This window comes from Homo sapiens, chromosome 15 (genome assembly GCF_000001405.40).
Source record: "Homo sapiens chromosome 15, GRCh38.p14 Primary Assembly".
NCBI lineage: Eukaryota > Metazoa > Chordata > Mammalia > Primates > Hominidae > Homo > Homo sapiens.
Genome location: NC_000015.10, coordinates 43,504,262 through 43,531,667, shown reverse-complemented (window position 1 = coordinate 43,531,667; position 27,406 = coordinate 43,504,262). Strand labels below are relative to the sequence as shown.

The 27,406-nt window shown below is 50.9% G+C and overlaps 2 protein-coding genes across 10 annotated transcripts in view, besides 7 other annotated features; one reads left to right on the top strand and one right to left on the bottom strand.

Moving 5' to 3' along the window:
* On the bottom strand, positions 57-20,714 carry MAP1A (microtubule associated protein 1A). Of its 2 annotated transcripts, NM_001411089.1 has the most exons (7): positions 20,442-20,714; positions 19,377-19,478; positions 10,945-11,027; positions 10,556-10,696; positions 2,160-10,344; positions 1,798-2,018; positions 57-1,599 (listed from the first exon to the last, which is right to left on the bottom strand). In NM_001411089.1, exons 1-7 carry the CDS (start codon positions 20,677-20,679, stop codon positions 1,444-1,446), a joined length of 9,126 nt encoding a protein of 3,041 aa, NP_001398018.1. In that variant the 5' UTR covers positions 20,680-20,714; the 3' UTR covers positions 57-1,443. The 2 variants fall into 2 exon arrangements, with proteins under 2 accessions (NP_001398018.1, NP_002364.5); NM_002373.6 differs by lacking the exons at positions 19,377-19,478; positions 20,442-20,714 and adding an exon at positions 13,968-14,060.
* Positions 1,339-1,839: an enhancer, noted in NCBI's record as "H3K4me1 hESC enhancer chr15:43822027-43822527 (GRCh37/hg19 assembly coordinates)". NCBI's record gives its function as "activates a minimal SCP1, AML or CMV promoter by ChIP-STARR-seq in naive H9 embryonic stem cells {active_cell/tissue: H9 hESC(naive)}" and the evidence as "EXISTENCE:reporter gene assay evidence [ECO:0000049][PMID:30033119]".
* Positions 1,840-2,340: an enhancer, noted in NCBI's record as "H3K4me1 hESC enhancer chr15:43821526-43822026 (GRCh37/hg19 assembly coordinates)". NCBI's record gives its function as "activates a minimal SCP1, AML or CMV promoter by ChIP-STARR-seq in naive H9 embryonic stem cells {active_cell/tissue: H9 hESC(naive)}" and the evidence as "EXISTENCE:reporter gene assay evidence [ECO:0000049][PMID:30033119]".
* Positions 3,322-3,954: an enhancer, noted in NCBI's record as "H3K4me1 hESC enhancer chr15:43819912-43820544 (GRCh37/hg19 assembly coordinates)". NCBI's record gives its function as "activates a minimal SCP1, AML or CMV promoter by ChIP-STARR-seq in primed H9 embryonic stem cells {active_cell/tissue: H9 hESC(primed)}" and the evidence as "EXISTENCE:reporter gene assay evidence [ECO:0000049][PMID:30033119]".
* Positions 12,942-13,585: an enhancer, noted in NCBI's record as "H3K4me1 hESC enhancer chr15:43810281-43810924 (GRCh37/hg19 assembly coordinates)". NCBI's record gives its function as "activates a minimal SCP1, AML or CMV promoter by ChIP-STARR-seq in primed H9 embryonic stem cells {active_cell/tissue: H9 hESC(primed)}" and the evidence as "EXISTENCE:reporter gene assay evidence [ECO:0000049][PMID:30033119]".
* Positions 20,359-20,578: an enhancer, noted in NCBI's record as "active region_9315". NCBI's record gives its function as "activates an Ori minimal core promoter by ATAC-STARR-seq in GM12878 lymphoblastoid cells {active_cell/tissue: GM12878}" and the evidence as "EXISTENCE:reporter gene assay evidence [ECO:0000049][PMID:35858748]".
* Positions 20,679-20,838: a silencer, noted in NCBI's record as "silent region_6386". NCBI's record gives its function as "represses an Ori minimal core promoter by ATAC-STARR-seq in GM12878 lymphoblastoid cells {active_cell/tissue: GM12878}" and the evidence as "EXISTENCE:reporter gene assay evidence [ECO:0000049][PMID:35858748]".
* Positions 21,019-21,138: an enhancer, noted in NCBI's record as "active region_9314". NCBI's record gives its function as "activates an Ori minimal core promoter by ATAC-STARR-seq in GM12878 lymphoblastoid cells {active_cell/tissue: GM12878}" and the evidence as "EXISTENCE:reporter gene assay evidence [ECO:0000049][PMID:35858748]".
* TP53BP1 (tumor protein p53 binding protein 1) overlaps positions 21,028-27,406 on the top strand; it is a 107,580-nt gene continuing 101,201 nt past the window's right edge. For all 8 annotated transcript variants that reach the window (XR_007064488.1, NM_005657.4, NM_001411050.1 and 5 more), the window contains exon 1: positions 21,028-21,298. The gene's annotated coding sequence lies outside the window, so the exon portion shown is untranslated. The remainder of the gene's footprint in view (positions 21,299-27,406) is intronic.

The window sequence follows — 27,406 nt, the reverse complement described above, 5'->3', positions numbered from 1 at the left end:
GCCCAGTAACTAAGCATGTATGGAGTCAGAAAAAGCCTAAGCAGCACTACACTATCTGCAATGAACTTGGTTTATTGTTAGAGTTGGAGGTGGCTCCGTTACAGCAGCTGGGAACTATAGCAGGGAAGCGTGGGGAGGAGCAGAACACAGCAGCACGGGGAGGGTGGAGCTAGGAAGAACACAAGGTGGGCTCATTTTGGTTTCCCAGTCGTTTGGCAGAGAAGGCAAGCCCACATGACTACCAGCTTCTGGGTTTCTCAGTCTGGCAGTAGTCTGGCAGGGCTGCTCACTGGCTTGCTTGGGGCGAGGTCCTCTCCTGGGGTGGTATTTTCAGCCCGTTTTCATTTCACTCTGTAGGAGTTAAGCTGTGGCTCAGCTTCTCCCTTTTTCCTTCCTCCATCTCATTTTCCCCAAGTCCTCTGGCCTGGCTTCCACCTCCCAGATCCTCTGTCCAAGAGCGGGTTTGGAGAGGCAGCCAGTGTTCCCATTTCAGCTGCAGGATGGCATAGTGGAATGTTGGGGGAGTCACACATTGCTGGGGTGTCAAATGTTGGGATGTCAGGCAGTGGCTTATTTTTAACCCATTAAACACCAAGCCACAGCAGATGACCACATGCAGAGAAGCCAAGCAGGGGATGAGAAGGGATCAGGATAATTGAAATGGGGTGAGTAAAAACTTCAAAGAGTCAGGGAGTTTGGAAGAATTCTGGCATTGGGGCTTGGGCTCTCCTTGCCGTTTTGTGCTGTCTGGACACAGCCCTGGGATGTGAATGGTATAAAGCAGGGTCTGGGGGATAAGCTCCTTTCTCCTCTCACCAGTCTATTGGTCTAAAGAGCTTCAAGTTTTAAATTGAGACATTCAGATACTGAGGGAAGCAGTAGAACAGTATAGCAGTGGGATACCCCCAGGACCCTGCTAGAACTCAGACCCTGGTGGTTGAGGAGATGGGGGATGGGAAATGGAGGAAAGGGTGCAGCTCTGGGCACCTCACTGACGGTATCCTGCCCCAGGTCACATAAATTACTATTGGAAATCCCTCCCAGGATGCCAAATAAATAGATTGAGATAAAGAGGTCCCTGGAGTTGGGGATATAATCTCCCTCTACGAGGGAGGAGGTTGCTCTCTGAGACCCATCCTCAGTCCCCATTCAATACCAGCATTTGACAGTGCTAGGAGAGGGTTCTCAGGCATCAGATGCTATCCTATTCTAATTTGTCCCCTCCCCCATCCTCTCCCTGTTAACTTTGGTTTGAGACACCTCACAGGAATGGATGATGGGGAGGGACAACCCCTCCCATTTAGCCCAGCCCAAGTCCCCACAACAAGACATCTCCCTCCCCTCCCCCTAGCTCCCATCTCCCTCAACCCCAAAGGACTCAGCAGTAGCCATTCTCTAAAGGAGCTGGGGGAGTGGATCCTTGGGGAAGGGAGGGCGGCTCTTTCAGAACTCAATCTTGCAGGCAGGGAAGGACTCATCCTGCATCACCACGGTGCTGCTGCTAGCCAGGACCAGGACATTCAGTTGTTGCTGCTGCTCATGAGTTTGTTGGTACCACTCACGAGTCACCTCCGTGTCATGAGTAGGGATCAGAGTCACCTAGAAGGGAGATAAGATATGTCTGATGTGAGAACATAAAGGGAAGGTAGGTGAGGGGGAAGGGGCACCTCATGGTCTCAGAAGCAGCTCTGCTGCCCTTAGAAAAGGCCCATCCTTTAATAAATAGGGACTGTGTTCCACTACTGCCTCTGAGTGAGCGTTGACCAGACTACTTCCTTGGTGTCCTTTGCTACTCACCTGAAGATTCTCCCCCCACTGGGCCTTGCCCTCCAGCAGGGCATCCAGCACAGCCCGGCTTGGCTCGCCATTGGCAGGGTCATTCCCACTGACCACATAGTAGGATGCACGCACTCGACGGAAGAAGTCAAGGTCAGCAGTCTTGCCACTGCAATGATTCGGGATGTAGGCGAGATCCACATATACAGGGGCACCAGAGCTGCCCTTGGAACTCAAGGCCACTGTAGAGACAAGCCAGGATTCATTGTAGAGGAAAAGTAGAACCCTTTTGGCAACCTTCCCCTCTGTCCCACTCCTGAAGTCTGACCAGCCCACACCCAGCCCTAACCCACACTCTCTGCCAAGTTTCATGATATACTTACTTGGTCCTGCCTTGAGTCCATTGACTAGGCCTTTGGACATGGGGCTGTGTCCATCCTTTTCCTCTGCTGGGGTGACCTGGCTTGTGGTGCTGCGTGGTCGAGGTGGGGCCCGGGATGCTCGATCTGCAGGCCCTTTACCAGGGGTGGGTGAGCGTTTTCCCCGAAGATCCAGACGCCGTGCAGGGGACGCTGGCTTGGCCTTGCCTGGGGCCCTGCGCCCTACTCGCCCCTGAACCTTTTCCTTCTCCCGTAGCCTCTCTACTCTCCCAGACTCTGAGCTGAGCCCCTCGGGGTCAGCCATGCACACATCAGGGCGGGGAGGGGATGGGCGGGGGTCTGGCTGTGGGAGAGGAGGTGGGTCATGGCCAGGCCTGGGGTGGTGAGTACCACTGACACCCCCAGCTTTGTCCACAGGTAGGAAGTCTCCATCTTCATCTGAGTCGAGGGCTGCCTCAGCTGTGATGGACGGACACTCCTCAGTTTCTGGCGGGACATCAGAATCTGACTGTGAGGAGCCTGAGTCACTGGCTGATGTAGGGGGTGTCTCATCAGTCACAGGGCATGGGCCCCCAGTGGTCCCTGGCCCCCCTACCCGGCGCCGCCCCCCTCTTCCTACTAGCCGAACTTCCTCAGTTGAGAGGTCCCTATCATCTATGGATGGGGGCAGAGGTGGGTTCAGGAAGGATGGGGAGAGCTCCCCACGATGGGGCCGAGGCTCAGTGGCACATCCCTGGGGCCCAGCTTCGACCTCAGGAGAGGCACTGCTGGGTGGGCCCCCGGAGCCCCCTGCAGGACACACTGGCTGCTCAGGGGAGAGCAATGTGTCAGGCCGGGAGCTCCTCTCAGCTCCTTCAGGCCAGGCCCCACGTTCCCAGGCAGGGCAAGCCGCAGCCTCTTCATTTTCAGCCTTGGCTGGGGCAGGGCCTGGGGGGTTAGGGCTGGTTTCAGTTGGGCCATTGGCTGCACAATCCTCAGAGGGAACCTGGAAGGGGCTTGGCTTCTCCGTGGCTGCCTCTGAGCACTCCAGGTGGCACGGCAGGATGCCATCACCCATGTCTCCAGGCAGGCTTGGAGCTGGAGCTAGGGCCAAGTCCAGTGAAGCTGGGGGTGCTGGGCTCAGAGGAGTGAGGTCCCAGAGGCTGTGGGCAGCTGGTTCCATTCCTGGGTCCAGCTCTCCAGACTCCTGTTCTGCAGCCTCAAGGCTTGGAGAGAAGCGCTCCGCCACACTTGAAATCACAGGCGTGGTAGCCTCAGAGGAGGAGCCCTCAGACAGGGCTGGTGAGGCAGGTCGTGGCAGATTGGAGAGGAGAGGGGCCCCAGGAGAACTGGGTGATGGGAGCTGGGGCAGTGAGGAATCCAGGCTGGGGGCCTTGGTCACTTCCAGGTATTCATCATGCCGGGTTCTGGTGGGGGGTCCTGGAGCCAGAGCCAGAGCTCGATCCCCAGAGAAGGCAAGGGAGCCACAGGGTGCCGAGCGGGGTTCAGCTGGAGAGGGCAGCTGTGGGGGAGCTGGCTGCAATGAGGAGAAGCCAAAGGCTGAAGCAGGGAAGTCCAGACTGGGTCGGGCAGGCCCCAGGTGTGAGTCCAAGGGAGGGCTAACATGTGCCTCAGTTTCTGGCCATAATGTGGGGGACCCCATAGGAATGGGGTGAGGAGGACTTGGGGATTGGGCCTCTTTTTCTGGCTGTTCCCGAGCCCCCTTCTCCAGTTCTGAGTCACTAGTGCTGTCATCCCAGTGACTCCGGCCTGATTCCTTGGGGGATGGGGACCTCCTATCTGGGCTGCAGCTCAGGATGTTACCATTAAGAGGGGGGCTTGGGCCTTTGCTCAGGATAGGAGCACGGGGGGGAACTGCAGGTGGGGTGAGGCTGGGCTCCATACTTGGCCCTGGCTCTGGCCTTGGGGGTACAGTGGGTCCTGCCAGGGCTGCATAGCTGAAGGTTGGAGTGTCAGACTGGAGGCTCTTGGGTGAGATAGGAGATGAAAGCTCCTTCTCTGCAGATGTGTTTCGGCCGGCAGCTGCCTCCTTGGTTGAGAGGCATGGGGGCCAATCCCCAGCTGCTCCAAGTGGAGGCTCTCTAGTGGGGCATGCAGGGCCAAGCCCAGTAAGCATCATCTGCTCATAGATGTCTGCATACTGAAAGCTTCTCTCATCAGGATAGGGTGTGGGCTCTCTCTGCTCCGGCTCAGTCTGCTCAGGCTCCGTGGTGGCATGGCTTTTGCTGGCCTCTGGTACCTTTGAGCTGTGTGAGCTTTTGTCAGGAGCCTCAGCCCTACCTTCTTCTTCCCTTTCCCCTTCAGCCTTGCGGTAGTCCTTCCCCAGGGGGGAGTATGGCCCACCTTCCAACTCAGCTGCCCCCTCCTGCACTGCAGCCACCACACTGTCATACTCGGCTGTGCCCCAAGAGAAGGGTGCAGGAGTATGGGATTCCGGGGCAGGTGTGGGGGGACCAGGAGCTGGGGAGAGGGGTGCAGGGGGGAGGGGTCTGTCCTTGGGCACCCAGGGTGGGATGTCAGCCAGCCATGAGGGAGTAGTGGGTTCATTCTTCATGTGTGGCATGAGCTTAGGGTCTGGGATAGGACTCTCTTGTCCTGGGGCTGAAGGAACCCTTTGTCCAACCATCTCAGGTGGGGAAGCTGGAGGGGAGATGATCTCAAAGGGAGAGCGGGTCAGTTTGTCCTCTTCCTCTGGTGGCAACCCAACTGGTGATTCAGCAAGCCAGCGCTCCACCTCTAGCCCCTTCTGTGGTGAGGATTCCTGGAAATCCTTGAAGTCTGAGGCCCAGGGGCTCCGGGTTGCGTGTTCCCGCAGGGGTACTTCTTGCTCATCATCTGGGCCCTCATCTAGGAAAGTGCTTTCCCGTTCCTCAGTGTAGTGTGGGCGGGCCCCCTGGCCATCCAGCTCGTGAGGGAACCAGACCTTCCGCTCACAGCTTAGCTCCCTCCAGTATGTGTCCTGTTCCAAGGCCACATCCTCTCTGCCCCTCCAATACCTATTGTCCTGCTCAGGAGATGTGTCCTCCCATGCCGGGGCAAGCTCTTTCTGTTCTCCAGCCGGCTCCTCTCTGGTAGGAGATGTTTCTTGCCACTCCTGGACCACATCCTGCCCCCTCCAGTACTTTTCTTCCTGCTCTCTGGCCCTGCCCTCCTGCACTAGGCTCTCTTCCAGGCCCAGAGCTTTGGTCTTCTCCAGAAGAGCTTCTAACTTCTCTTCCATGGCCTTGACCTTTTCTGGGGATTTTTCCTCTAGCATCTTTGGTTTCCTGGTTTTATCCTCCTGCACTAGGCTCTCCTGCTCCTGAGTTTGGTGGTTCTCTTCCAGAGCCTGAATGTTTTGTTCCAGGGCTTCATCCTTCTGTCCCAAAGCCCAGTATTTTTGTTCTAAGGCCTGATCCTTCTTTTCTGAGACTTTATCCTTTTGTTCCTGGGCCTGGTGTTTCTGTTCAGGGGCTTTGTCTGTCTGTTCTAGGTCTCTGTCCTTCATTTCAGCGACCGTGTCCTCCGGAGCCTTATGTTCAACACTTCTGACTTTTTGATCTAAGGCTTTGTCTTTCTCTTCTGGGATCTTCTCCTTCTGTTCTAGGACCCTGTCCTTTTGTTCCAAGTCTTTATCTTTTGGTTCCAGGGCCTTGTCCTTCTGTTCCAGGGCTGTATCCTTTTGTTCTAAGGCTTTGTCTTTCTCTTCTGGAATCTTATCCTTCTGTTCCAGGGCCTTGTCTTTTTCTTCTAAGTCTTTGTCTTTTGGTTCCAGGGCCTTGTCCTTCTGTTCTAGGGCTGTGTCTTTTTGCTCTAAGTCTCTGCCCTTTTGTTCTAAAGCCTTATCCTGCTGTTTCACAGCCTCATTCTTTACATGCAGAGCCTCATCTTTCTGATAGATGGCTGTATCCTTCGGCTCTACCACCTCCTTGTGCTCCAGAGTTTTGTCTTTCTGCTGTAAAACTTCATCCTTTGGCTCAGGTTCCTTCTTCTGTTCTGAGGTTCTGTCTTTCAACCCTGGAACTTTATCTTCCCACTTTATGGCAATGTCCTCCAAGGCAGGGCCTGGCAAAGACTCAGGACTCTTGGAGAAGGAGCTATCAGGTGTCAGAATGTGTTCATCAGGGCTTGTGATCGCCCCAGGTAAGTACTTCCCATTTCCTGAAGGTGTAGAGTGAGAGAATGAGCTGGCAGGTGACTTCCTGTCAAGGCTGTCATCTGTGATGTCTGTCTGTGCAGAGTATCGAGTTGTCCCATCTGTGGGAGGTGACGCTGTGGCTGCATGGGGCTCTGGAACAGACATGGGAGCTGTGTGGTGAGAGGTATCCTCGGCCTGCATCAGATGCCCCATTTCTTCCTTCCCAAGGTTTAGTTCCCCAAACTGGAGGGTGCCAAGGCTTTCTGGAGAGAGCTGCTTAGAAGAGACATCCAGGGAGGTCTCCTTGCTGGGACTCTCTTCTGACAGAGAAAGTGACTGGGTGTCTTCTGGAGATACCTCTGGCCAACGGTCTTTGTGTAGGTACTGTTCTGTCAGGCCACAGGGAGACTTGGGGGTAGGCTCTTGGTTGGCAGTGTCTGGGGAGGGCACGCTGAGGACAGAGAGGGATTCTGCATCTTCAGGAGAGAGGCTTCGGTCAGGATATCTGAGCACCTCATCTTTCTGAGGTTTGCCAGGTTCTTGGGGTAAAGTCCTCAAACCTCCGGGAAGGGCTTCTGCTCCCAGAATTGGGCCTGTGGGCTCTCCTGCCTCCATAATCTCAAAGACTATTGCTTTATCCTGTGCTGGCAACAGTTGAATGGTACAGCCTGTAAGCCCCTCATCAATGTTGACAGGTGCTTCCTGGGCCTGGGGGCTCCTGGGAGGAGGAACTTTCTCTTCCTTCTCTAGTGTGCCCTCTTCAGGCCCTGGCTTGACTGTCTCCTCAGCAGCATCTTCTTTGCCCACACCTGGTGTGCGCTTAGTGTCTCCCCAGGAGTCTGCCTCCTGAAAGTCTTGGGGCTCAGACTTTTCTTCCACTGGGGACTGATGAAAGGGTGTGTGGGTGGCACTGGGTGGGCCAGATGGTGGAGGAGAAGCCATCTTCACTGTGCTGTCATCTGGGCTAAGGCACCGCTCCTCTGCTTCTCCAAGGGCTGGTTCTCCTGGATGTAGGGCATGCCCAGGGGCACTAAACACTGGAGTTCCATATTGACTGCAAAGTTTCTCAGACATCTCTACGTTTGCTGTCTCCTCCTCTTCCTCTTCCACAGCTCTCTCTCCAGACAAGCCTTTCCCTATGATCTCTCCTCTCTTCTCTGACTCCCCAGTCACAGAGAAGTCCTCACAGGGTGGTGATTTGAAGCCCTTGTCTTCTTCCAGTGAGGAGGTGGGTGAGATGGTACCAGCTGATGGCACATAGTCCAAGCCCTGCGTAGCTTCAGTACGGGAGGAAGGGATGCTTGTGACTGTGTCAAGCAGCAGGGAGCTCTTGCCTGTCTCCTCTGTCTGGGGAGCTGTAAGTGAGGCCACAGATTGGTCCTCAGCCACTGATGTGGCAAAGGAAGAAAGTTTGTCACACTCAGTGATTGAAGTGGCCGAGGACACATGTTCCTCTTCAGCCAAAGGGGCAGCCACTATGTTAGTGGGGTAGGTGAGTTCAGTCTCTGGCGTTCCATAGACTTTGCCAGAGGTAGCAGGAACAGCACTATCGGCAGGTTGGCTGGCTTCGAATGGGCCAGCACCTTCAGGCCCGGGCAGGTCATATGTACTTGTATGAAATCTGGGTGGAGCTGGGCGCTCCTCCGGCTCATCATGGATCTCCTCATCTGAGATGGTCTGCTCAGTCTCTGAGTAGCCAGGGATTGTCTCATCCTGGATGTAAGAGACATGCTCAGTGGCTCCTGCAGGTGTGGTCAGGCTGCTTAGGAATAACGAGGTCTCCTTCTCAGGGGCCTTGCCCTGGAGTCCCAATTCCCGACCCCCAAAAGCCTCCCGGCTCCTTGGAGTTACCTTCAAGGGTTCCTGCATATGTTTTTGGTAAAAACCCTCAGCTTTTGTCGCGTCCTCTTCCTCCTCATCTGAAGGGTGTACCTCCTCCATTTCTTCTAACTCAGCCTTTTCTATCACATCCTCCTTTACTTCAGGTTCACTTTCCTCTCTGGCTTCTGTTCTGTCTGGGAGCCTCTCTGCTTCCCTCTGCTTCTTTTCCTCCCAGGTATCTTTCTCTTCCTCTGTTTCAGCCCCAGAGTCTAGGCCTCTGTCCTTGCTGCCTTGTTCCTCAGGGACCTCTGGGACAAGCTCTTTCTCCTTCATCACATGTTCTTCTTGTCCCAGCCCTGGAACAGAGGGTGGTGTTCCCTGGATAGCTGTACTTGGGGGTCCCTCCTCTGCAGTGTCTAGAGGGAATGGCTTATCTCCTAGTCCTGTGTCCCTTTGTTCAGCCAGCAAAGCCCTCTCCTCACGCTTCATCTCCTCAAAGTCCTGTGTGAGGTCCTCTGGTGAGGATAGGACCAGCTCCCTGTGCCCACTGATGGTTGGGAGTGGTACAGTTCCCTTCTGGGCTGGGGGTGTCTGGGGCTCAGAAGACAGCTCCTTCTCCCCACGGATAGCACGGCTCCTGTCTATTTTGACTCTTCCAGGGACCTTGGCTTTATAGAGGGTCTTACGTACCTCAGGAGTAAAGGGCTTTAGGTCTGGCTTGGAAATCTTCTTGAGCTCAGGTTTGGTATCTTTCCTCTTCTCCTCCTTCTTGGCATCCTTCTTCTCCTCCTTCCTTCCTTCATCCTTCTTGAGCTCTTTCCTCTCCTTTTTGATCTCTTTTTTCTCCTTGTCTTTTTTTTCTTCCAGCTTTGATATCTTTTCTTTAAGGTGCTTTTTCCCTACCTTGTCTTTGATCAGCTTTCGCTTCTCTGCCTTCAGTGCCTCACTTGACTCTGTCTTCACCCTCTCAGGCTTGGCAGGCTTCTCTGGGGGCTTCTCAGATGACTCTTTTGCCTTCTTCTCTGTCTTGGCTAACTCCTTGGCCAGCTCTGAACGTGCCTCCTTGGCTCCCTCTTCTACCACCTCCTCCCGTTTGGCCAACTTGCTCACGGCCGTCTTGGTAGTGGCTTTGAGGCTCTCCTTGCTATCAGCCCGCTGTTTGATTTTGCTGGGCTTGAGGTTGGTAGGCACAGCCCCAGAAGCCAGGTCCTTCTGCGTGGCCACAGGGTAACGCAGGAAGTCCAGATGCCGAAGCTTTTCTAGGCCCTCCAAGATCTTGTTTTGGGGAGCATTTCCTGGAAAAAGCACACGCACAATCTTCTCAGTGGGATTGGCTGGTAGCCAGACCACCAGAGCAGTGATAGAGGTAAGGTAGGGCACGGAGATCTCAGCCTCCTTCCCATTGGGCAGCACGATGCCTGTCTTGGCTTTACTATTGCCTGCCCACTTTTGCATGAGGAACTGCATCTCCTTGCTGTCCTTGACAGGGTTGAGGACATACATGTCCAGCCGGCCCACACCCATTTTGTGGAAGAGGGTCAGTGGCTCAATGGTATTGCTGACCACACGATATAGAGGCTCAGCCTGGATGCCCAGGCGGTTTAAGTGCTGCAGAGTGAGGCAGGCCTCCTCAATGCTACGCTTGGCTTTCCGGGAGGCATCAGGAAGCCGCAGCTTCTCAGGCACGTTGAAAAAGACAACTCCAAGCTCAGGAGAGATAAGGTTCTTCACCCAGTCGCTGTAACTGCTAGAGCCCTGGGACTGCTCCTCCTCTAGCTCTGCCACTTTGCGCTGCAGTAGTCCATTGATGCCTGGCAGGTTGTCTGCCCCAATGTGTGTGAGTAGCACCGAGTCAATGCGGTCCAAGTGCCGTACCAGCTTCCAAAAACAGGACTTGCGATCAGAGCCACCATCCACCAGGATGTTGAAACCATTGACAGCAAAGAGGGCAGAGTCCCCACGACCACCTGGGAAGATGTAGCAACAAGGCTTGGAGAGCTTGAGGAAGCCCCCTGAGGTGGGGGGCTCTAGTAGGTCAAATGGGGATGGCACGTCCACAGTCTCAGAGACATACTCGGAGAACTCAGCCACGCCGTCCATGGTGGGCAGAGTGGGCTCAGGGTTTAGCCGGAGGTGCAGGGTCTCTTGGGAACTGGATAATCCCAGGTGGCTCCAATCACCTTCCCCTAAGCAGGACACGGTAAGGAAGGCCTGTATCCCAGGGTCTCTATTGCTGAGCAATTGGGAAATCTAGAAGAATAGGAGATAGAAACCTGATCAGGTCACTAGAGTTGTTTTGGTCTGACTTAGATTCAGTACCCTAATCTTCACCTCTTTCCAAGGTGGACTCTTACCTTTCTGCCAGGGCCCCCCATGGTCATGCAATATGAGACTTTCCCTTAGATCCCTCCCACAGCTCTAGTGCTACCCTTTCTCCCAGACACTCTGGCATGGAACTTACCTCGGGGTTGTGAAGGACCTGGGCAAAGTTTTCATATGAGTAGGTGCCACTCTGTAGGATGAGGTCTCCCCCAGGCTCTAAACTTTGCCCACTCAAGATTAGTAGTTTATAAGCTGATGAGCTGCTAAGAAGATGATGAACCTGGAATGGAAGAAGGGGAGTGGTCACAGATATAGGAAATCCAGGGAAAGGCAATGAATGGCCCCTCAGTACCTCAAGAACATGCTCCCAACTTATGTCCCTCATAACACCTCCAGAGTGGGCTGGAGACAATACGTCAGCTTAGATGGCAGAGAGAGGAATTCTTGGCCTAATAGTGGTAGCACTGGCAAGGGTGGGTATAGCACTTGCACCAGGCCTGTTTGGCAAGGCACAGGCCCTGGCCTTACCTCAGAGCTGATGCTGTCTGCACTGGGATTTACCAGGATGATGGTCTCTAGGATCTCACTCTGGTGGCAAAGGGTCCTCTGGCCTGAGGGAGAGATGTAGGAATTTATATTGAGAATAGGTATAGAAATTGTGGTGCAGGAGAGGAAAGAATGTGCTATCAGGAAATGGGGCTTAGACGAAAGAGAAGGTATCCTTAGGCCCTGCCACCTTGGATACTGCTGAGTAAGGTCTAGGAACTGGCTCATCCAGCCCTTCCCTTAGAGGGTTTCCACCTCCCCTCTCCCACACTGGCTGTCCTCTCCTTCCCTTCATCTACCACACCCTCTGCTGCCTGTGCCCCCATCCCTCTGCCTGGAACTATGGCCTCAGACTGCCCTATTGACAAGAAGCTTTTGTCCTTCTCGAGCACTAAGCTCCTGGTGCTGCCTGGGGATGGGGGGCTCAGCTGGAGAGAGGGCCCCTGGGATGATGACCCTCACTTCCCTTTCTCCTTCCTGGCTTGCCTCTGCCCTGGGCTTTCCTGCCCGCAGAGTGTCTAGAAATAAGGAAATAGGAGCTTCTGTGTGGTACAGACTCCCCACCCTTCTTGCCATCCAAGGCCAGAATTCCTGTTCCAGAAGACCCGGAGAAGCCTGTGCTATCTAAATTTTTGGGGTTTTATGATTCAAAGAATGGACATAGGACTATAACTTCATTTTCTGTCCTCTGGTTCCTCAGAGGCCAAGCCCGCACTAATACACATGCACACAATCATATTGTTCCTGCTCGGAAGTTTTCACAACACCCTCTCCAACCTGATCTTCATGTCCCAAAGTTTCAGAGAGGCCAGATTCACTACCCCACAACCTATTCATTGTGAACAGTTTCTTCTCTCATCTTTGCCCCGCTCCTAGGGGCCTCTACCACGGGCATGGGGAGTGAAAGGTTCTTGAACAAGAAACACATTAATAAGGAAGGAGAGATTCAGGGTGTTCCCCAGGCCATGGAGAAAGATAAGGCATCCCCAAATCCCCTATTTCCCTTCTCCAGCCTCACATGAAACACCAAACAATTCAGCAAAGAAAGAAAGTGGCAAATGAGACAGAAGATGCTGAAGAAGAATGCTGCCATCCCCTGCACCCGCCCTTCCTTGCCAAATCCCCTTTCCAATTGCAGTACATAGTGGCATTAACCTCACAGAGCATCCAACAGATGGCAGTGGGCTGTCTGGAGGATACTGGTGGGAGGGTCCATAATTTGTCCCTTAGACCCTCTTCTGTGACCCAGCTCTCTCTTCTTTCTGGTGCTTGGACAAGAGAAGCCTGGGGCCAGGGCCTTTGTTAAGAGGCAGAGCCATGGTGCCAGGATCAGGCAGATCTGGCAGCACAGGGCTGCAGATGCAGCTGTGGGGGAAATGAACGATGGTGTCAGAAGACCAAACCCCATACAGCGTGGGTTGGGCCAAAGGGGAATTCAAGGGTTCCCTTCTATTTACTTGAGAATTGAGGGAACATTTGAGATAAATTCAGAGGACAAGAGCCACCTCAGATGTAGGCAAGGGCAGGGCTTGGGGCAGGTGAGGGATATCAAGGTTCGGGAAGCTGCCAGCCTTAAGTCGTTCAGATTTAGAAAGACAAGAGCTCCCTCCACACAAATAAGGTCATAAATTTGAGGTAGGAGGGTCAGAAAGACAAATATCTATAGCACACACTGATTTGCTTTCTATCTACCCCTCCCTGCCCCCAACCATTCCTCACGGTCCCCATTTATCACCACAAGACTTCTATGATCCCAGTTCCTGTCCTGGCATAAGGTCCTGTTCCTCACTCTATCCCTGGGAGTGGTTCTGACTTGAAATTACATGGTTTATATCCTGTGCCTCTCTTTTTCAGGCCTGGGAGAAAGCCGTTTCTTCTGCTCCCCTGGCTCTCTCACTGAAGGGAACTGACTCGTTTTTTCCTTTTTCTTTAGAGAGGACCATCTTGTGAGGCAGGGACACACAGTGCTCAGCCAGTGCTGGAGTTGCGGGGGGGGGTGGGCTGCGGTGCAGAGGCTGAGCAGGCAGGAGGGCAGGTGTCTCCGCAGTGAGGCAGAAGGGGAGGGGGACCGTTTGGGCAGCTGCAGTTTGCCGCAGTGTGTGAGTGTGCGCGCTGAGCTCCGGCTCCAGCTCCGCCCCCACCCCCCACCCCAGCATGACAAGTCATTTTCTTGGCTGCTTCTGCATGGGGGGTGGGGATGGGGGGATGCAGAGAGAGAGAAGAAACTGGCTCCTCTGTTCAAGAGCCCCCATCTTGGGAAGAGAAGCAGAGATGAGGTGGGGGTAGGGCTGAGACTGGGAACCTGTGGGGTTGACACGACTGGAAATGCAGGGCAGCCGCTGGGGAGGGAGTTCTCCGTCTCCAGAGTGGCCTCGGCAGGGCCAGAAAGGGGGGTTTAGAGTCCCATTCTAAAGCTAGCCGCAGGGAATAGGGTGGGGGAGCCCACTGCAAACCGGTTGGTCTGTAAGGAGGCGCGTGCCACGTCTTAGTGACCCTTTCCTCCCTTCTTTTCCATAGTGTCCCCCACCTTCCCTTACTTGGCAAAAACTCACTGCCCTGCTCACCCCCAGCATAGGAGCAGCTGAGCAATCCAGCAGCTGACACCCAGGGGCCCTCCTATTAGGCACATTCCCATAACATCCCCCTTTCTCTCAGATTCTTCTGCCTCTGACCAGAAACATAGCCCCCAAACTCCTCCAGCATCCTGGGCTGTCAGGCAGAGCCAGTGGCACCACCCTCTGCTGCTGTCCCAGGCTGATTTCTCCCATCCCCGCCCAGCTGGAGAGGTGGACTGTCACAGCCCCTGGTGGCCTCTGGTTCTGGGTCCAGGCTGGGCCCACAGCCAGTAACGTTCATCTTCTCTCTCCATTTCCCCATCCTGCCTACTGCCACTGGGCTAGTTCTAGATGTGCCAGATTAGGTACCAGCACCCTTTCCATGACCCCCATCCCACCTCCCTATCACAGTGTACCCCCACATGCCAAGCCCTTTGGTTCGGTTCTTACCCTGGGGTGTAGGAGGAAGCCTCTCATGGAGGCGGCAGCTCCGGCCTCAGCCGGCAGCTTCAGGGAAGAGTCTGCAGCACTTAGGGTGGGAGTGGGGCGGGCGGTGGGGGGGGGAGGGGGGTGCTTGATGAGGAGGGCGGCGCCAGGGCGGGGAAGAGGGGCTGGTCCGTGACGAGGCACTGGAGACTTAACTGTTTCTTTGCCTTCACGACGTCTGAGCTCCAGTGCTTTTGCTTGGCTCTGTGGGGCTGAGGGATTGTCTAGCAGCTCAAGGAGCCTCTGCAATGTCCTATGGCCCATAGGACCTTTCTCTCCCAACCCTGCTTAGTTAGGAAATATTCTTTTGGCATCAGCCAAAAGACCAAAGCCCCATGCTAGGGCACAGAGCGAGGCTATAGGAGGCATGGGCTGCGTGGGCTCTCCCCCTTCTCTTAGAAACCATCTGCTGCCTCTCTCCTCAGATGGATCCAGGGAGTGACCTTCAGTCCCTGGAGGAGCAGGAGACAAAGGCTGGGGGCCCAAAAGCATGGGGTAGGTGTGGGGAACTGCTTAAGACAAAGGTTGGGGATGCAGAGATGTGCTGCCTTCTTCTGAACCTCAGCACTACAGAAACCAAGGAGGGCAGAAATAAGTCTTATTTTAGGGTTAGAGGGTAGTTTGAAATTCCGGAGTGGACACATGGTCCCTAGCCTGTTGGGGTGGGGCACAGGGACCCTGAGAGCTACATGAAGTTTCATGGGAATGCAGCATAACACAGTAACCACACAGGCACTGATTCTTGGGATTCTTGAGTCATTGGATATGAAGAGACAAGTCCCTGAAGGGACAGGGAGCTTTCTGCCTTACAGTGAAGGAGTTAACAAGGACCAAGAAGGATCACCAGGGCCTCCGGCCCAAGCAAGGTTGTAGGCCAATTATTAAATGTAACAGAAGTACTCTTTAGATTAAAAAAACCCTATAATGACTTTGTAGGGTGATTGGGTTCTTGCTCTCTCCTTGTCTCTTTGCTGTTTCTATATTATATTATTTGGATCTTTCTAATGTTGATCCTGTTTCCCTTAGTCTCTACCTCCATCTCAGATTTAGTAAAGCGCTCTAGGACTCAAAGGAAGAATCTGGAGAGTGGTAGCACTTCCTTCCAACCCGAGGATGCTCATGCTCTTACATAGTCCTTCCCTGCCCTCTTCCCATCCACCCTCCCCAGTTTGGCCAGCTCCTAAGGCCTTCCTCACAATCACAGCCACCCACTCACACCCAAACACTAGCCCCACCCTTGCCCCAGGCTGCCAAGAGTTACTTTTGAAGGTCAGAGAAGCCAAAATAGTCTGTGCTCTCAGCATCCCCCATCCCCCCTTAATTGCAGCCAGAGGAGAGGAGGAGCTGAGTCACTAGTACTCTTGGGGGTTGAGGGGACAAAAGGGGAGCAATCCTTGCTTAGATCCGGGGATGCAAATCTGCGACAATGGCAACAACCCCGTTTGGGTAGAAGCGGCCATCTGCAGAGATACACAGGGAAAACCAGGCTGAGTTCTGAGCATCACAAAAGGGAAATACCCCTCTTCTGCAACTTCATCGTTCTTATTTCCTCCCACCTCAAGCCTTCTATCTCCTCCCTGCTTTCTAGGGCTTTCTGGAGTGTGTTAGGAGGGAAACTTAAGTAGACATTTAGTTTACGAACAAAATAACATTTCCCAGACCAATACAGAGCCCACCCATATTCTCAGCTGCCACCCCCAAGGGCCACACCCTGGGCATGGTGCCAACTCACAGTGGAGTTTTCCTTCAGCCTTCACCCTCTGAACAGCTACCCACCACAACCAACTCTCCACCTGCTGTATTCCTAGGCTCTGCTGCAATGAAATGGTGAGATGCCAAAGAAGAAAGAGAGGCTTGAGCTGAGCTACAAAGTAAGATATGAAACCCTGGATTTGAGACTTGATCCACCATTTTACTAATCATGCTGCTAAACAAGAGACTTAACCTCTCTCAGAGCCTACTTCATAAACTATGAAATGAGTATAATATTAGTACCATCCTCCGATAATGCTGTGAGGTTTGAATTGTATAAAAGATGAAAAAAAAGCTTCTTCATTCCTAGACTTCCAAATCTGCAATGTACAAATGCCACTGGAAGTCTTTCTCCCTTTTGTGGAAGATTTCTGAGAGGTCATCTAGGTGATCAAGGAAATCATAAATCAGGATCTCAGACCAGATCAACTCTGGAGTACTCTTAGCTCCCAGGTAAACCCAGAACTAAAGATGCCTGCAGTATGAGATTTGAAGTCCTATTCATGTCCTTGCTTTCCCATTTCAGACAGCAATGCAGACCCCGGTTCCAGGGGTTAATGAGCTGCTGTATTAATTCAGGGTAACTGTTGTATTGGTAGAAGTAATAGAGCTATCACTTCCTAAGTCCGTCAGTGGAAATGGAGAGTCAGACCGAAGGCCTCCAGACTGGTCCCTCAGCCTGTATTTTTATTTATTTATTTATTGAGATGGAGTCTAGCTCTGTCGCCCAGGCTGGACTGCAATGTCATGATCTCAGCTCACTGCAACCTCTGTCTCCTGGGTTCAAGCAATTCTCCTGCCTCCCGAGTAGCTGGGATTACAGGTGTGCACCACCACCCTCGGCTAATTTTTGTATTTTTAGTAGAAGAGGGTTTCAACATGTTGTCCAGGCTGGTCTCAAACTCCTAACCTCAAGTGATCCACCCACCTCGGCCTCCCAAAGTGCTGGGATTACAGGCATAAGCCACCATGCCCGGCCCTGTGTTTTTTAGAGTCTTAGAATATTAGTTATGAATTATAAGCCCCCTTCTATTTCCTATAGGTATCCAATAGTAAAAGAATCAGAGAGTTATTGAAACTCAGTTTTCCACTGTCCTAATTGTTTCTGAATTTGTATTAGAATGCTCGGAAGATCCAGATTTTTTGTAGGGGTTAGAAAGTCACCACTGGAGAGACTACCTGGTGCAAAAATCACCTTTGAAAGCTTTTACCAGACTTGACCACTAGAAGGAGCTGGGCCACTGACTCTTTATCAGAGGGTCCCTTCTTTTCTGTGTGTGGGTATGTCAATGTGGAGGGGGCAGTGCCTAGGAATAAGTGCACTCTCCTTGTCACTGTAGGATACATTTTTGTCTGCTTTCTCAGCATTTTGGCCCAGGGCTTGAGGATAGGTGATAGGAATGGTGGCCCAGCCTGTGGGGTAGTCAAGCCATAAGGCACTAGCATATCCCCTTGAGCTCATCCCAGCTGCCTGGTCCCCTTTGCGTCCTCACTAACAGAAGGCTGGAGGGAGGGGCAGTGTCTGCAGCTGCTCTGGGCTGACTGTTGTTTGTGGGGACAGCTGAAAGAGGAGCCAGCAGGGGTGGGGCTGTGGCTGTCTTGAGCTGTGTGGGTTTTTCCAGGAAATTCTCTACTATTCTCCTGTGACATAGACAGACCATGATAAAAATGTCCAAACCTAAAAATATGCAGTATGCCAAAGTAAGCTCTGATCTAGGGTACATGGCCCTAAGCTCCTTGAGGACACCACAGACAAACTCTTTGATGGAAAGGGCCTAGTAGGTGTTTATATATCAATGCTCATTTCTAAGAAGTGCCTGAGAATAACTATGTTCTCTCTGTAAGTGTCTTCCCAAGTATCGCTGCATCTTAATCTGAAGAATGGCTAAGTACTTTGGTTTAACTTCTTTTCATTTCTTACATTATTCCAGAAAGCAGCCTACTCTCAAGTCTCTGTAGCCAAAAGGACAAGGTTAGAGCATTCAGTGTGAATTATTAACATCAGCAGATAATCCCCAAACTTCTGTTCAGTCATTAATTTCATCCTCTGTCATCCCTGTATCTGGCCTTTCACCAAAGCTCCTAGGAGTACTAAGTGGTAAAACTGCCGATTTTCATCATTAGGGATAAATGGAGGAAGCCATGACATGAGTAATTCTAAACAGAAACATTCTCAAAAGAGTGAGTAGCCTGCTTTACAGGAAGCCAGTCACATCAGGAAGATGTCAGCCTCACATATATTAATATAAAATTGCTGTATATATTCCTAGGCTAATGGAGCTTTAGTCATATTAGCCTTATTTTCTCCAACTTCCTAGCAGCATCTATAAGTATCAGTGATCAGGAAGTGATCAAAGATTTGGCAGTTAGGAGCAGTGGAAAAGGAGGAGAGATAATTAAGGAAAGGTGACTACTATACTGAGTAATTGAGAATTATCTGTATAAGACATGAATTCAATCATTCAGTTGCAGTGGCTGTTGACCTGGATGGATTTTATATTCCACTAAGCTGATGGATTGGTGTGTCAACATTTTCCAGTAACATGACTAGATGCCTAGCTCCTTTTTCTTTTTTTTTTTTTCCTGAGATGGAGTTTCACTTTTGTTGCCCAGGCTGGAGTGCAATGGCACGATCTTGGCTCACTGCAACCTCTGCCTCCCGGGTTCAAGCGATTCTCCTGCCTCAGCCTCCTGAGTAGCTGGGATTACAGGCATGCACCACCACGCCCAGCTAGTTTTGTATTTTTTAGTAGAGGCGGGGTTTCTCCGTTGGTCAGGCTGGCCTCGAACTCCCGACCTCAGGTGATCTCCCCGCCTCAGCCTCCCAAAGTGTTGGGATTACAGGTGTGAGCACTGTGCCCGGCCTTAGTTCTTTTATAATAGCATGTAGAGCTTTCCGTAGTCACCTCACAGACATCTGTCATGGAATGGTAGTGCCTAACATCTTATTTTCTCAAATCTCTAACCCACCCATTCCTCCCACCCAGCAGAATGGGAAACTGCATTATGTGAGCTTTGATCTGGGCCAAATCTCAGAGTACAACTTGATCTTGTAGCAGTAAATTCAGGAGCCCCTCCTTCCACTCTGGATTTGATGGTGCCCATCATCATGTAAGTACCAAGATTCTGCTCTGCCCTGGAGATCTGTTGGCTAAGCCGAAGCAGGAACCAGAAACCCTGAAACCTGTGCAGCCTAAATAAAAATGCTAAACAAGGGTCAAGGAAGATGAATGGGGGATTCTGGGGTGTCTGTAAAGGGAAGCAGGGAGACCCGGGGTATGCAGAAAGGGGAACACAAATGAAGAGAGTGAATTTTTGCGTGAGAGATGATTGATCACTAAGAGGAGTCCCTCATTTCTTTAGTGCATGTCAACAGCTATCCACAAACAACCCTCTTCTCAAGGAGAAGTTATGTTCTCCAGTCTCCCTCCAGTATCAAACCATGTCTGCAAAGTATATTTGGTATGTGGGGACAGCTATGGAATTCCATGATTTTCCTCCTCTATAAAGTTCCTCCCTTCTCCTCCACTCAAACCTCCCGCAAGGCCACTTCTCCCAGGGAGACTGGACCTCTGTGACCAGCTCTTACCCAAAGGACTGAAATAAAACATTAGTCCTAACCTTTGACCTCTGAGGAGAAGTGAGCTAGGTGCCGGGTAATGAAGAGTCTCAACTGTTGGTTCAAGTCAAAGGATGACAGGTCAATGTTCCAGGAGAGAATCCCTGTGGGAGAAAAACAAAGAAGGTTCTGGATAAGGTTGCAGGTTGTAGGGTGGTGAGACTGCAGGAACACTTTCAAGTTCACAGAACAGGTAAGGAGAGGGAGGGTATATGGATAGTTGCCATGATCAGCCTCAGTGATGTCTCAAAGAAAGGTGGCTAGTAATGGTGTCTTTCTCCCAGTTTACAGCTTTTCTAGGCTTTGCCTGAGCCAGAGGGAGAAGGACAGAGTTTAGACTAAACTCGGTCATTAATGAGTCTATAGGTAGGAATTTTCTTGTAAGGTTCCCCAGTTGTGGTGGAAGTGACACCTAAGGGCCTATTCCCAGATACTGAGGGCTACCTTCCCCACATTTACAGCTAAGTAGGATTCTAGGTTCGCCTTCTGTGTTCCCTTCCTTGTCCCCAGCCCTCCACAGCTTGCTTCCACCCGCAGGTGGCTCCGCAGCACTGCACCACAGCCACAGGCACAGCACTGGGGAAGGAGGTGAGGACTTAGGAGCTGGTAGCCACGAAGGTCACTTAGTGGTTGGCTACTGGCATTCAGAGATTTGAGATTTGTACGGGGCGTTCAGAAAGCTCCCCGTGCTGGTTCAGGGACCATAAAGAAGATACAGCAAGATAGGGACGTGGATTCTCCAGGGATGGTGAGGACTTTCAGGACACCTGGTCCAAAACACTGCGGTGGAGGGTGTGACCAGAGGGGCCCCAGGGGCTGCATAGAGCTCCGCTGCCTCAGGGAGACTGCGGAACGCCATGGAGTGTGCAGTAAGGATGGGCAAGCGAGATGTTAGTAGAGCGAGAGGATACGGACACATGGCATGGAAGATGCAGGTGACAAGGGCGCAGATCTCAGGAAGTGCACACTAGGGATGGAGATGCAGACGTATGCATTGGTAGTTGAATGCAGAAGGCGGAGAAGCACAGGGTAGAGATGCCTGAAGCACAGCCAGAACAGTGGCTCACCTTGTTCAAGGTGGGCCCGCACGGCCCTCAGCTGACTCTCTGTACCGATATCGCCGATCACAATTAGCAAAGAGTGCTTCTGCAGGTCCCAGCGTGCAGCCGCCACCGCGGCTCCGGCCTCGCACAGCAGCTCCGCGGGGTTCTGAGCCAGCGGTGCGCCGGGACTTCGGAGCCCCAGCCCCGGAGTTGTCTCCATGGCAACGCCGTGAGGCCGCGCAGGCTCGGCCTCGGTCTCCATGGAAACACCCGCGGAGTGTTAGTCCGGCAGCTTCCGCTGCAGGCAGAGTGCGCGCGGCTCTTAAAGGCCGGCGGCAGGTGCAGTTCATTGGCTGCTGCCTGTCAGGGGGCGTGGCACAGGCGCCGCAGGGGCGGGCCGGAGCTGGAAGCTCGTGCTCTGCGGTCTCGCCAGGCTAGAGGGTGGTGGCCGCCCCCTTCCTCCCACCACGCCCTCCCCAGTACCAGCGGGAGCTTCCACTTAGACTTGAGCGGGGGTGGGGTCTCTGGGGGACCCATTGGTGGGGCGAGGCGGTTGCCTCGGCGCCGGAAGAAGCTTCTAGTTAAGATGTATCCCTGATAAGTACTGTCTGGCAATTCCGCAGCCTCGCCCGAACTGAGGGGAGCCATCTTGTCCCTCTCTGCCTCCGAGTTTGTATCGTTGCCTCCATCTGTGTCTGTGTGTCTGTATTATCGTTGTTTGGCGTGTTTTTTTTTTTTTTTGTTTTTTGTCACTGCCTGCCTGGGTCCTGCCCGAGGTCTCCATCCTCGGTTTCCCTGTCCTTGCCCCGGGCCCTGGGAGTGCTCTGGAAGGCTGCGCAGTATTGGAGGGGACAGAATGACCTTCCGGCCTTGAGTCCCTGGTGAGTTGTTATTCTGAAGATAGCAGTTGGCTGGCTAGTTTCCATCTCTGCTGAGTGCAGGACTCGAGTGCAATGAGCTCAGACTGCAGCAAGGGGGATTTGAGTAAAACCTAGGAAAGACCTTCCCATCTTCAAGTGATGTGACAGTGAGATGGGTCTCCCTCAGGAGACTGTTGTATTACTTCCCCCCCTCCCACCCCCCGGGAGTTCTTAAAACAGAAGGAGCAGTGTTTGCACCAAAGAAGGGGTTGACAGTTCTAAGATCAAAACCAGAGGTTGGGAAAGGACTGAGGAGGCCTTGCACTGTTTTATGACTGACTGGAACATCTTTGTAAAAAAGTGCTGTTAGTCTAGCCTCCCCCATTCCTCAGTGTGTCTCCACCTACTCCACACTCCAGAGTAGTCTTTTACCCAGGATACCGAATCATTCTGTACATGTATGTATGGGAGCGCCTATCTTTCACCCTAGGGCTCCAGCAGCACTTGTTTTTTTGTTTTTTTGTTTTGTTTTGTTTTTTGGGTTTTTGGGTTTTTTTTTGTCCCGTTTGCCTTTGCTTTGGAGATAGTACAGGAAAGAAAGGAACACAGTATCAGATTCAGCAAGGCTGCCTGTGAGCCACGTTCTGATTGGGCAGTGTCTGCATGTTAAATACTTCACAGCGGCCGGGCACAGTGGCCCACGCCTGTAATCCCAGCAGTTTGGGAGGCCAAAGTGGGTGGTTCACTTGAGGTCAGGAGTTCAAGACCAGCCTGGCCAACATGGAGAAACCCTGCCTCTATTAAAAATACAAAAATTAGCTGGGCGTGGTGTTGGGCGCCTATAATCCCAGCTACTCGGGAGGCTGAGGCAGGAGAACCACTTGAACCCGGGAGGCGAAGGTTGCAGTAAGCCAGGATTGCACCACTGCACTCCAGCCTGAGTGACAGAGTGAGACTCTGTTTCAAAACAAAACAAAAAACTTTACAGCAATCCTGGTCCCTACCATGGAGCATGTGTTACAGGAAAACAGCCAGTCCACTCTGCAACCAATTTGGACATGGCCCTGAAAATCCTTTTTGCACAGAAAGGGGAAAATAAGAGTACTGGCAGAATGTCAGATGCTGGGGATGCCTCACCCTCTAGTCTCATGACTATGACACATGAGACGGTGTTCCGCTGTACCTCTGCCCCCCCCCCCCCCGTTTGTGGATCTGAATCTGGAAAAGAGCTTGGAGAGATTTACAGGCCTCCTCTTCTGCAATCAGTAAGAGTACCATGTGGAGGCAGAGAGCCAGAATAGGTTGTGGGGAGAAAGGGACAGTTTCCATAGCAACTGCAGAGATGAGGCCGCTAACTAGCACAGGGTCTCAGTATAAAGGTCAGCAGTAGTTAACCAAAGATTCTGCTTTCATCAAGTCTCACAAAGAGACTAGACAATAGATCTGAATGGTATAGGGAAGGATCACACACTGATTAGATGGTAGGGGCAGAAACTCAGCCTTGTGATCTCAGGCCCTGCTAAAATTGGGTTTTATTAATTACAGTGCAAATGTAGATTATGATAGTACTAAAATTGCTTATGTGTGCTGGATGAGTATTTTGCAGGCTCACTGCCAAAGTCTGACAATGTCACAGAAAGATTGGCTATAGGTGTCTGTTAATTATCCTCCTCTTTCCTTGGTTAACAGTATTCCAGCCATTCCACTGGGTGATGATTCCAGTATGATTATATTGTCAAAATATACGTATATATATTTAGAGACAGAGTCTTGCTGTGTCAGCAAGGCTGGTATATAGTGGCATGATTGTAGCTCACTGTAACCTCAAACTCTGGGCTCAAGTGATCCTTGCACCTCAGCCTCTGGAGTAGCTAGGATTATTTGAGACAGGGTCTCACAGAGACAGGGTCTTTGTGTGTTGCACAGGTTGGTCCCAAACTCCTGGCCTCAAGCAGTCCTCTTGCCTTGGCCTCCCAAAGGACTGGGATTACAAGCGTGAGCCACTGTTCCCAGCCCAGAAATTTTTTTTTTGAGACGGAGTCTTGCTCTCTTGCCCAGGTTGGAGTGCAGTGGCGTGATCTTGGTTCACTGCAACCTCTGCCTCCCGGGTTCAAGCGATTCTTCTGCCTTAGCCTCCTGAGTAGCTGGGACTACAGGCGTGCGCCACCATGCCCAGCTAATTTTTGTAGTTTTAGTAGAGACGGGGTTTCACCATGTTGGCCATACTGGTCTCAAACTCCTGACCTCATGATCCACCTACCTCGGCCTCCCAAAGTGCTGAAATTACAGGCATGGGCCACCGTGCCCGGCCCAGAAAATATGTTTAAGTGTTAAATTGCACATAGCACTTGTCCAAAGTGCTCTATAAAGAAAACTGGACAGGAGTGGTGGCTCACATCTGTAATCCCAGCTGTTTGGGAGACTGAGGCGGGTGGATTGCTTGAGCCCAGAAGTTCAAGACCAGCCTGGGGTACATAATGGAACCCCATCTTTACAAAAAATACAAAAATTAGCCGGGTGTGGTGGTGTGTGCCTGTAGTCCCAGCTACTCAGGAGGCTGAGATGGGAGGATCAATTGAGCCCAGGAGGCAGTGAGCCGAGATCTCGCCACTGCGCTCTAGCTTGGGCAACAGAGCAAGCCTCTTATCTCAAACAGAAAAAAAAAAAAGAAAAAAGAAAACTGTGGAGCATTAGCATCTGTGTCCCAGAATTTTATAAGCAAAGACAGAAAATGCTCTGATACATATGTATAAGACTTAGAAAGCTAAATAAAAAATTAAATACATATATGAATTATAAAGTATTTAAAAATCTATATTGAATTTAGGAAGTGTGCTATGGCAGAAGCCTGGTAGTAAAACGATGCAATTCAAAGGCCCTTCCAAGGGTGTTACCAGTGGAGGGTCTTGACTACGAGTTGTCCAGGTTCTTGGCATATTGAACAAAGAATTGGACTAGCTGGGCGCAGTGGCTCACGCCTGTAATCCCAACACTTTGGGAGGCTGAGGTGGGTGGATCACCTGAGGTCAGGAGTTCGAGACCAGCCTGGCCAACATGGTGAAACCCCATCTCTACTAAAAATGCAAAAATTAGCTGGGCGTGTTGGTGGGTGCCTGTAATCCCAGCTACTCGGGAGGCTGAGGCAGGAGAATTGCTTGAACCCAGGAAGTGGAGGTTGCAGTGAGTGGAGATTGTGCCACTGTACTCCAGGCTGGGTGACAGAGTGAGACTCCATCTCAAAAAAAAAAAAGAGAATTGGACAAAATGCACAAACAAACCAATGGAAGATGAAAGCATAGATTTATTGAAGTGAAAGTACATTCCACAGAGTGGGAGTGGGCTCGAGTAAGTGGCTCAAGGGCCCCAGTTGCACAAATCTTCTTGGGTTTAAGTACCCTTTAGAGGTTTCCTATTAATTACATCCTATGTAAATGAAGACTTGGCCTGCGACCTATTGGAGGCTGAAGTGGTGGCTTGGCCTGTGACCAATTAGAGGCTGAAGTGAAGTTACACCCTTTGCAAATGAAGACTTGGCTCCCACCAATCAGAGGCTGAAGTGAAGGCTCCCTGTCTCCAGACACTATTCTCCTGCCTCAAGGGGATTATTAGGGACCTGTGATATGCATGATTGTCAGACACAGGTAGTAGTGTTTGATGGCTATGGAGCCTCCTGTTTTGTTTCATTTAACTATTGACCCCCTGGAATGACCAAGTATGATCTTTTGGGAGCTCTCCAATTCTGTAGCTTCTTCCACAGTCTTGTCAAGCAAAATTGGCAGATATAGTGGCACACCAATGCTTTTGAACTGTGATGAAGGACCCTTGAATTGTCGAAGGTGTCTAAGGATCCACCACTGAAAGAGGAGGTTAGAAGAGGTGCAAGAGGAAGGCACTATTATAGGCTGTTTCCTTGGTTATGCACTGGAGTCAGCACAAGGCAAAAGATAGTATAAATCTCAAATGGTTTGAAAAGTATCGGCTAAGTTTAAACCAGTTAGGGAATTCTCAACCCCCAGGCCTTCATAATGTATAGTGATAAATTATCCAATAGGTAAATTAAGCACACTCTTAACAAAGTGGGAAGGGCATCTCTAAGTTTTTCTGGAAATAATTTCATATTTGGCATTTAAAGTATTAAAGTTGTCCCCATGAAAAATCAGAGCTTTACTTGCAATTAGTTGCACTCATCTTGAATTAGGTGTTCATAGGAGAGAAGAACATCATAATTCTTTCAATGCTTAAAGTCTCCATAAGATTTAAGGCAGCTCTGGCAATTCATAAAGAAAAGATGCTGGGCCTTCTCTTCTAGCCTGATGAATGTCATTAGTTTTTCTGGGGGTCTGAGCTCATTTGGCAGAACTCCAGCCCTGCTCTGCTGGATTGCATGGTTTTATCCACCAAAATATCCAAGGGAGCTGCATACAGCTCAGATTCCTTCCCTGCACTCAGTTCTGCCTGTAAAGCATTCTTACCCAGAGAGAGGCGTGTTGGATTACAGAAGTGCTGTGTCAGAGGCTTATCCTTGGCTTTTGGGGGAAATACTATGATCATAATGCATACCAGCAGCCATAGGGTCACCTCAGCCTGAACAGCTGGTTTGTCTGCAAAGGCATGGAGTAAAATAACCTTTAAAAAGGCACTGAGTAAAATAATATCTAAAAAGGTTGAGATGGGGAAGAAGTCTGCATTTATTACTATGTCTGGGCCACAGAGGAGGCCCACAATAAATATTTTTCTAATTATTATTTGTTCACATTAAGTAAATGGGCAGAGCAATGGGACTGGGTTTACCTTCCCCCTGCAGAGCATTGCAAAGGACAATGAAGAAATTTCCCCTTTTTCTTCCCTCACTTCCCACATTCTTTTATTTAAGAAAGTGATTCCCAAAAGCGAAAAAAATAATTTATCAATACCATCTTCCCTTATCCATTTCATTAGCCTGTGAAATGGAAGGTAGTGTTTGGCTGTGACCTCTGATACCATCTTTTCTTTTAATCTGAGCAAAGCTACCTCTTACTGCAGGGATCTCTTAAGGATTTTCTTTGTGGTGGTAGAGATGATGGTGGTAAAGAGGATTCAAACCTAACTATATAACTTAGTTTTCAGGCCATACCTGTGTGTGAATTATATTTTGCATCTTTTTTTTCCCCAAAGTATTCATAGAATGGAGTTATTTCCTTTCAAGGAATGCTTGGGTTGAAGAAATATTATTCCCTTTACAATATCACAAAATCACAAATACTTTGTCTTTCTTCTCATCAGTTCCTTCTCAAAGATCCTTCATAATATGCCCTAACTTCCCTTTCCAACATTACCTCCTGCAAATATCCTGTTTTTATTTTATTTTTAAAATTTTATTTATTTATTTTTTGAAACGGAGTCTCGCTCTGTCACCCAGACTGGAGTGCAGTGGCACGATCTCGGCTCACTGCAACCTCCGCCTGCCAGGTTCAAGCAATTCTCTTGCCTCACCTTCCCGAGTAGCTGGGATTGCAGGTGTGCACCAACACACCTGGCTAATTTTTTATATTTTTGGTAGAGACAGGGTTTCACCATTTGGCCAGGCTGGTCTTGAACTCCTGACCTCAGGTGATCTCTCCGCCTCGGCCTCCCAAAGTACTGGGATTACAGGAGTGAGACACCGTGCCTGGCCGCAAATATCCTGTATCAACCTTTTTATTCAGTCAGTCTGAACCACTTGCCTTTTTCTCATTCTTGTATTTTTTGTTTAGGCTGTTCATTTTTCCTTGAATACTCTGTTTTCCTTAACTCATCTAAGGATTTATTTATTTACCTTTACCTTATTTGTGGAATAAAGATTCATCTCATTCCACAAAGGATTTAAGGGATATGACCGAACTCAAACCCAACTACTTCTGCAGAACTGACTTTCTTACTTACCAACTATGTGAACTTTGGCAACTTGCTTATCTTCTCTGTGCTTCAGTTTCCTTGTCTGTAAAATTAAAATAATAGCACCCCACCTTATAGGGATTATTTTGAGAATTAAGTGGAACAACCTTTTAAATATGCTTAGCACAATGCCTGGAATTCATTCATTCATTCAATAGTATTTATGGCCAGGCACGGTGGGTCACATTTATAATCCCAGCACTTTGGGAGGCTAAA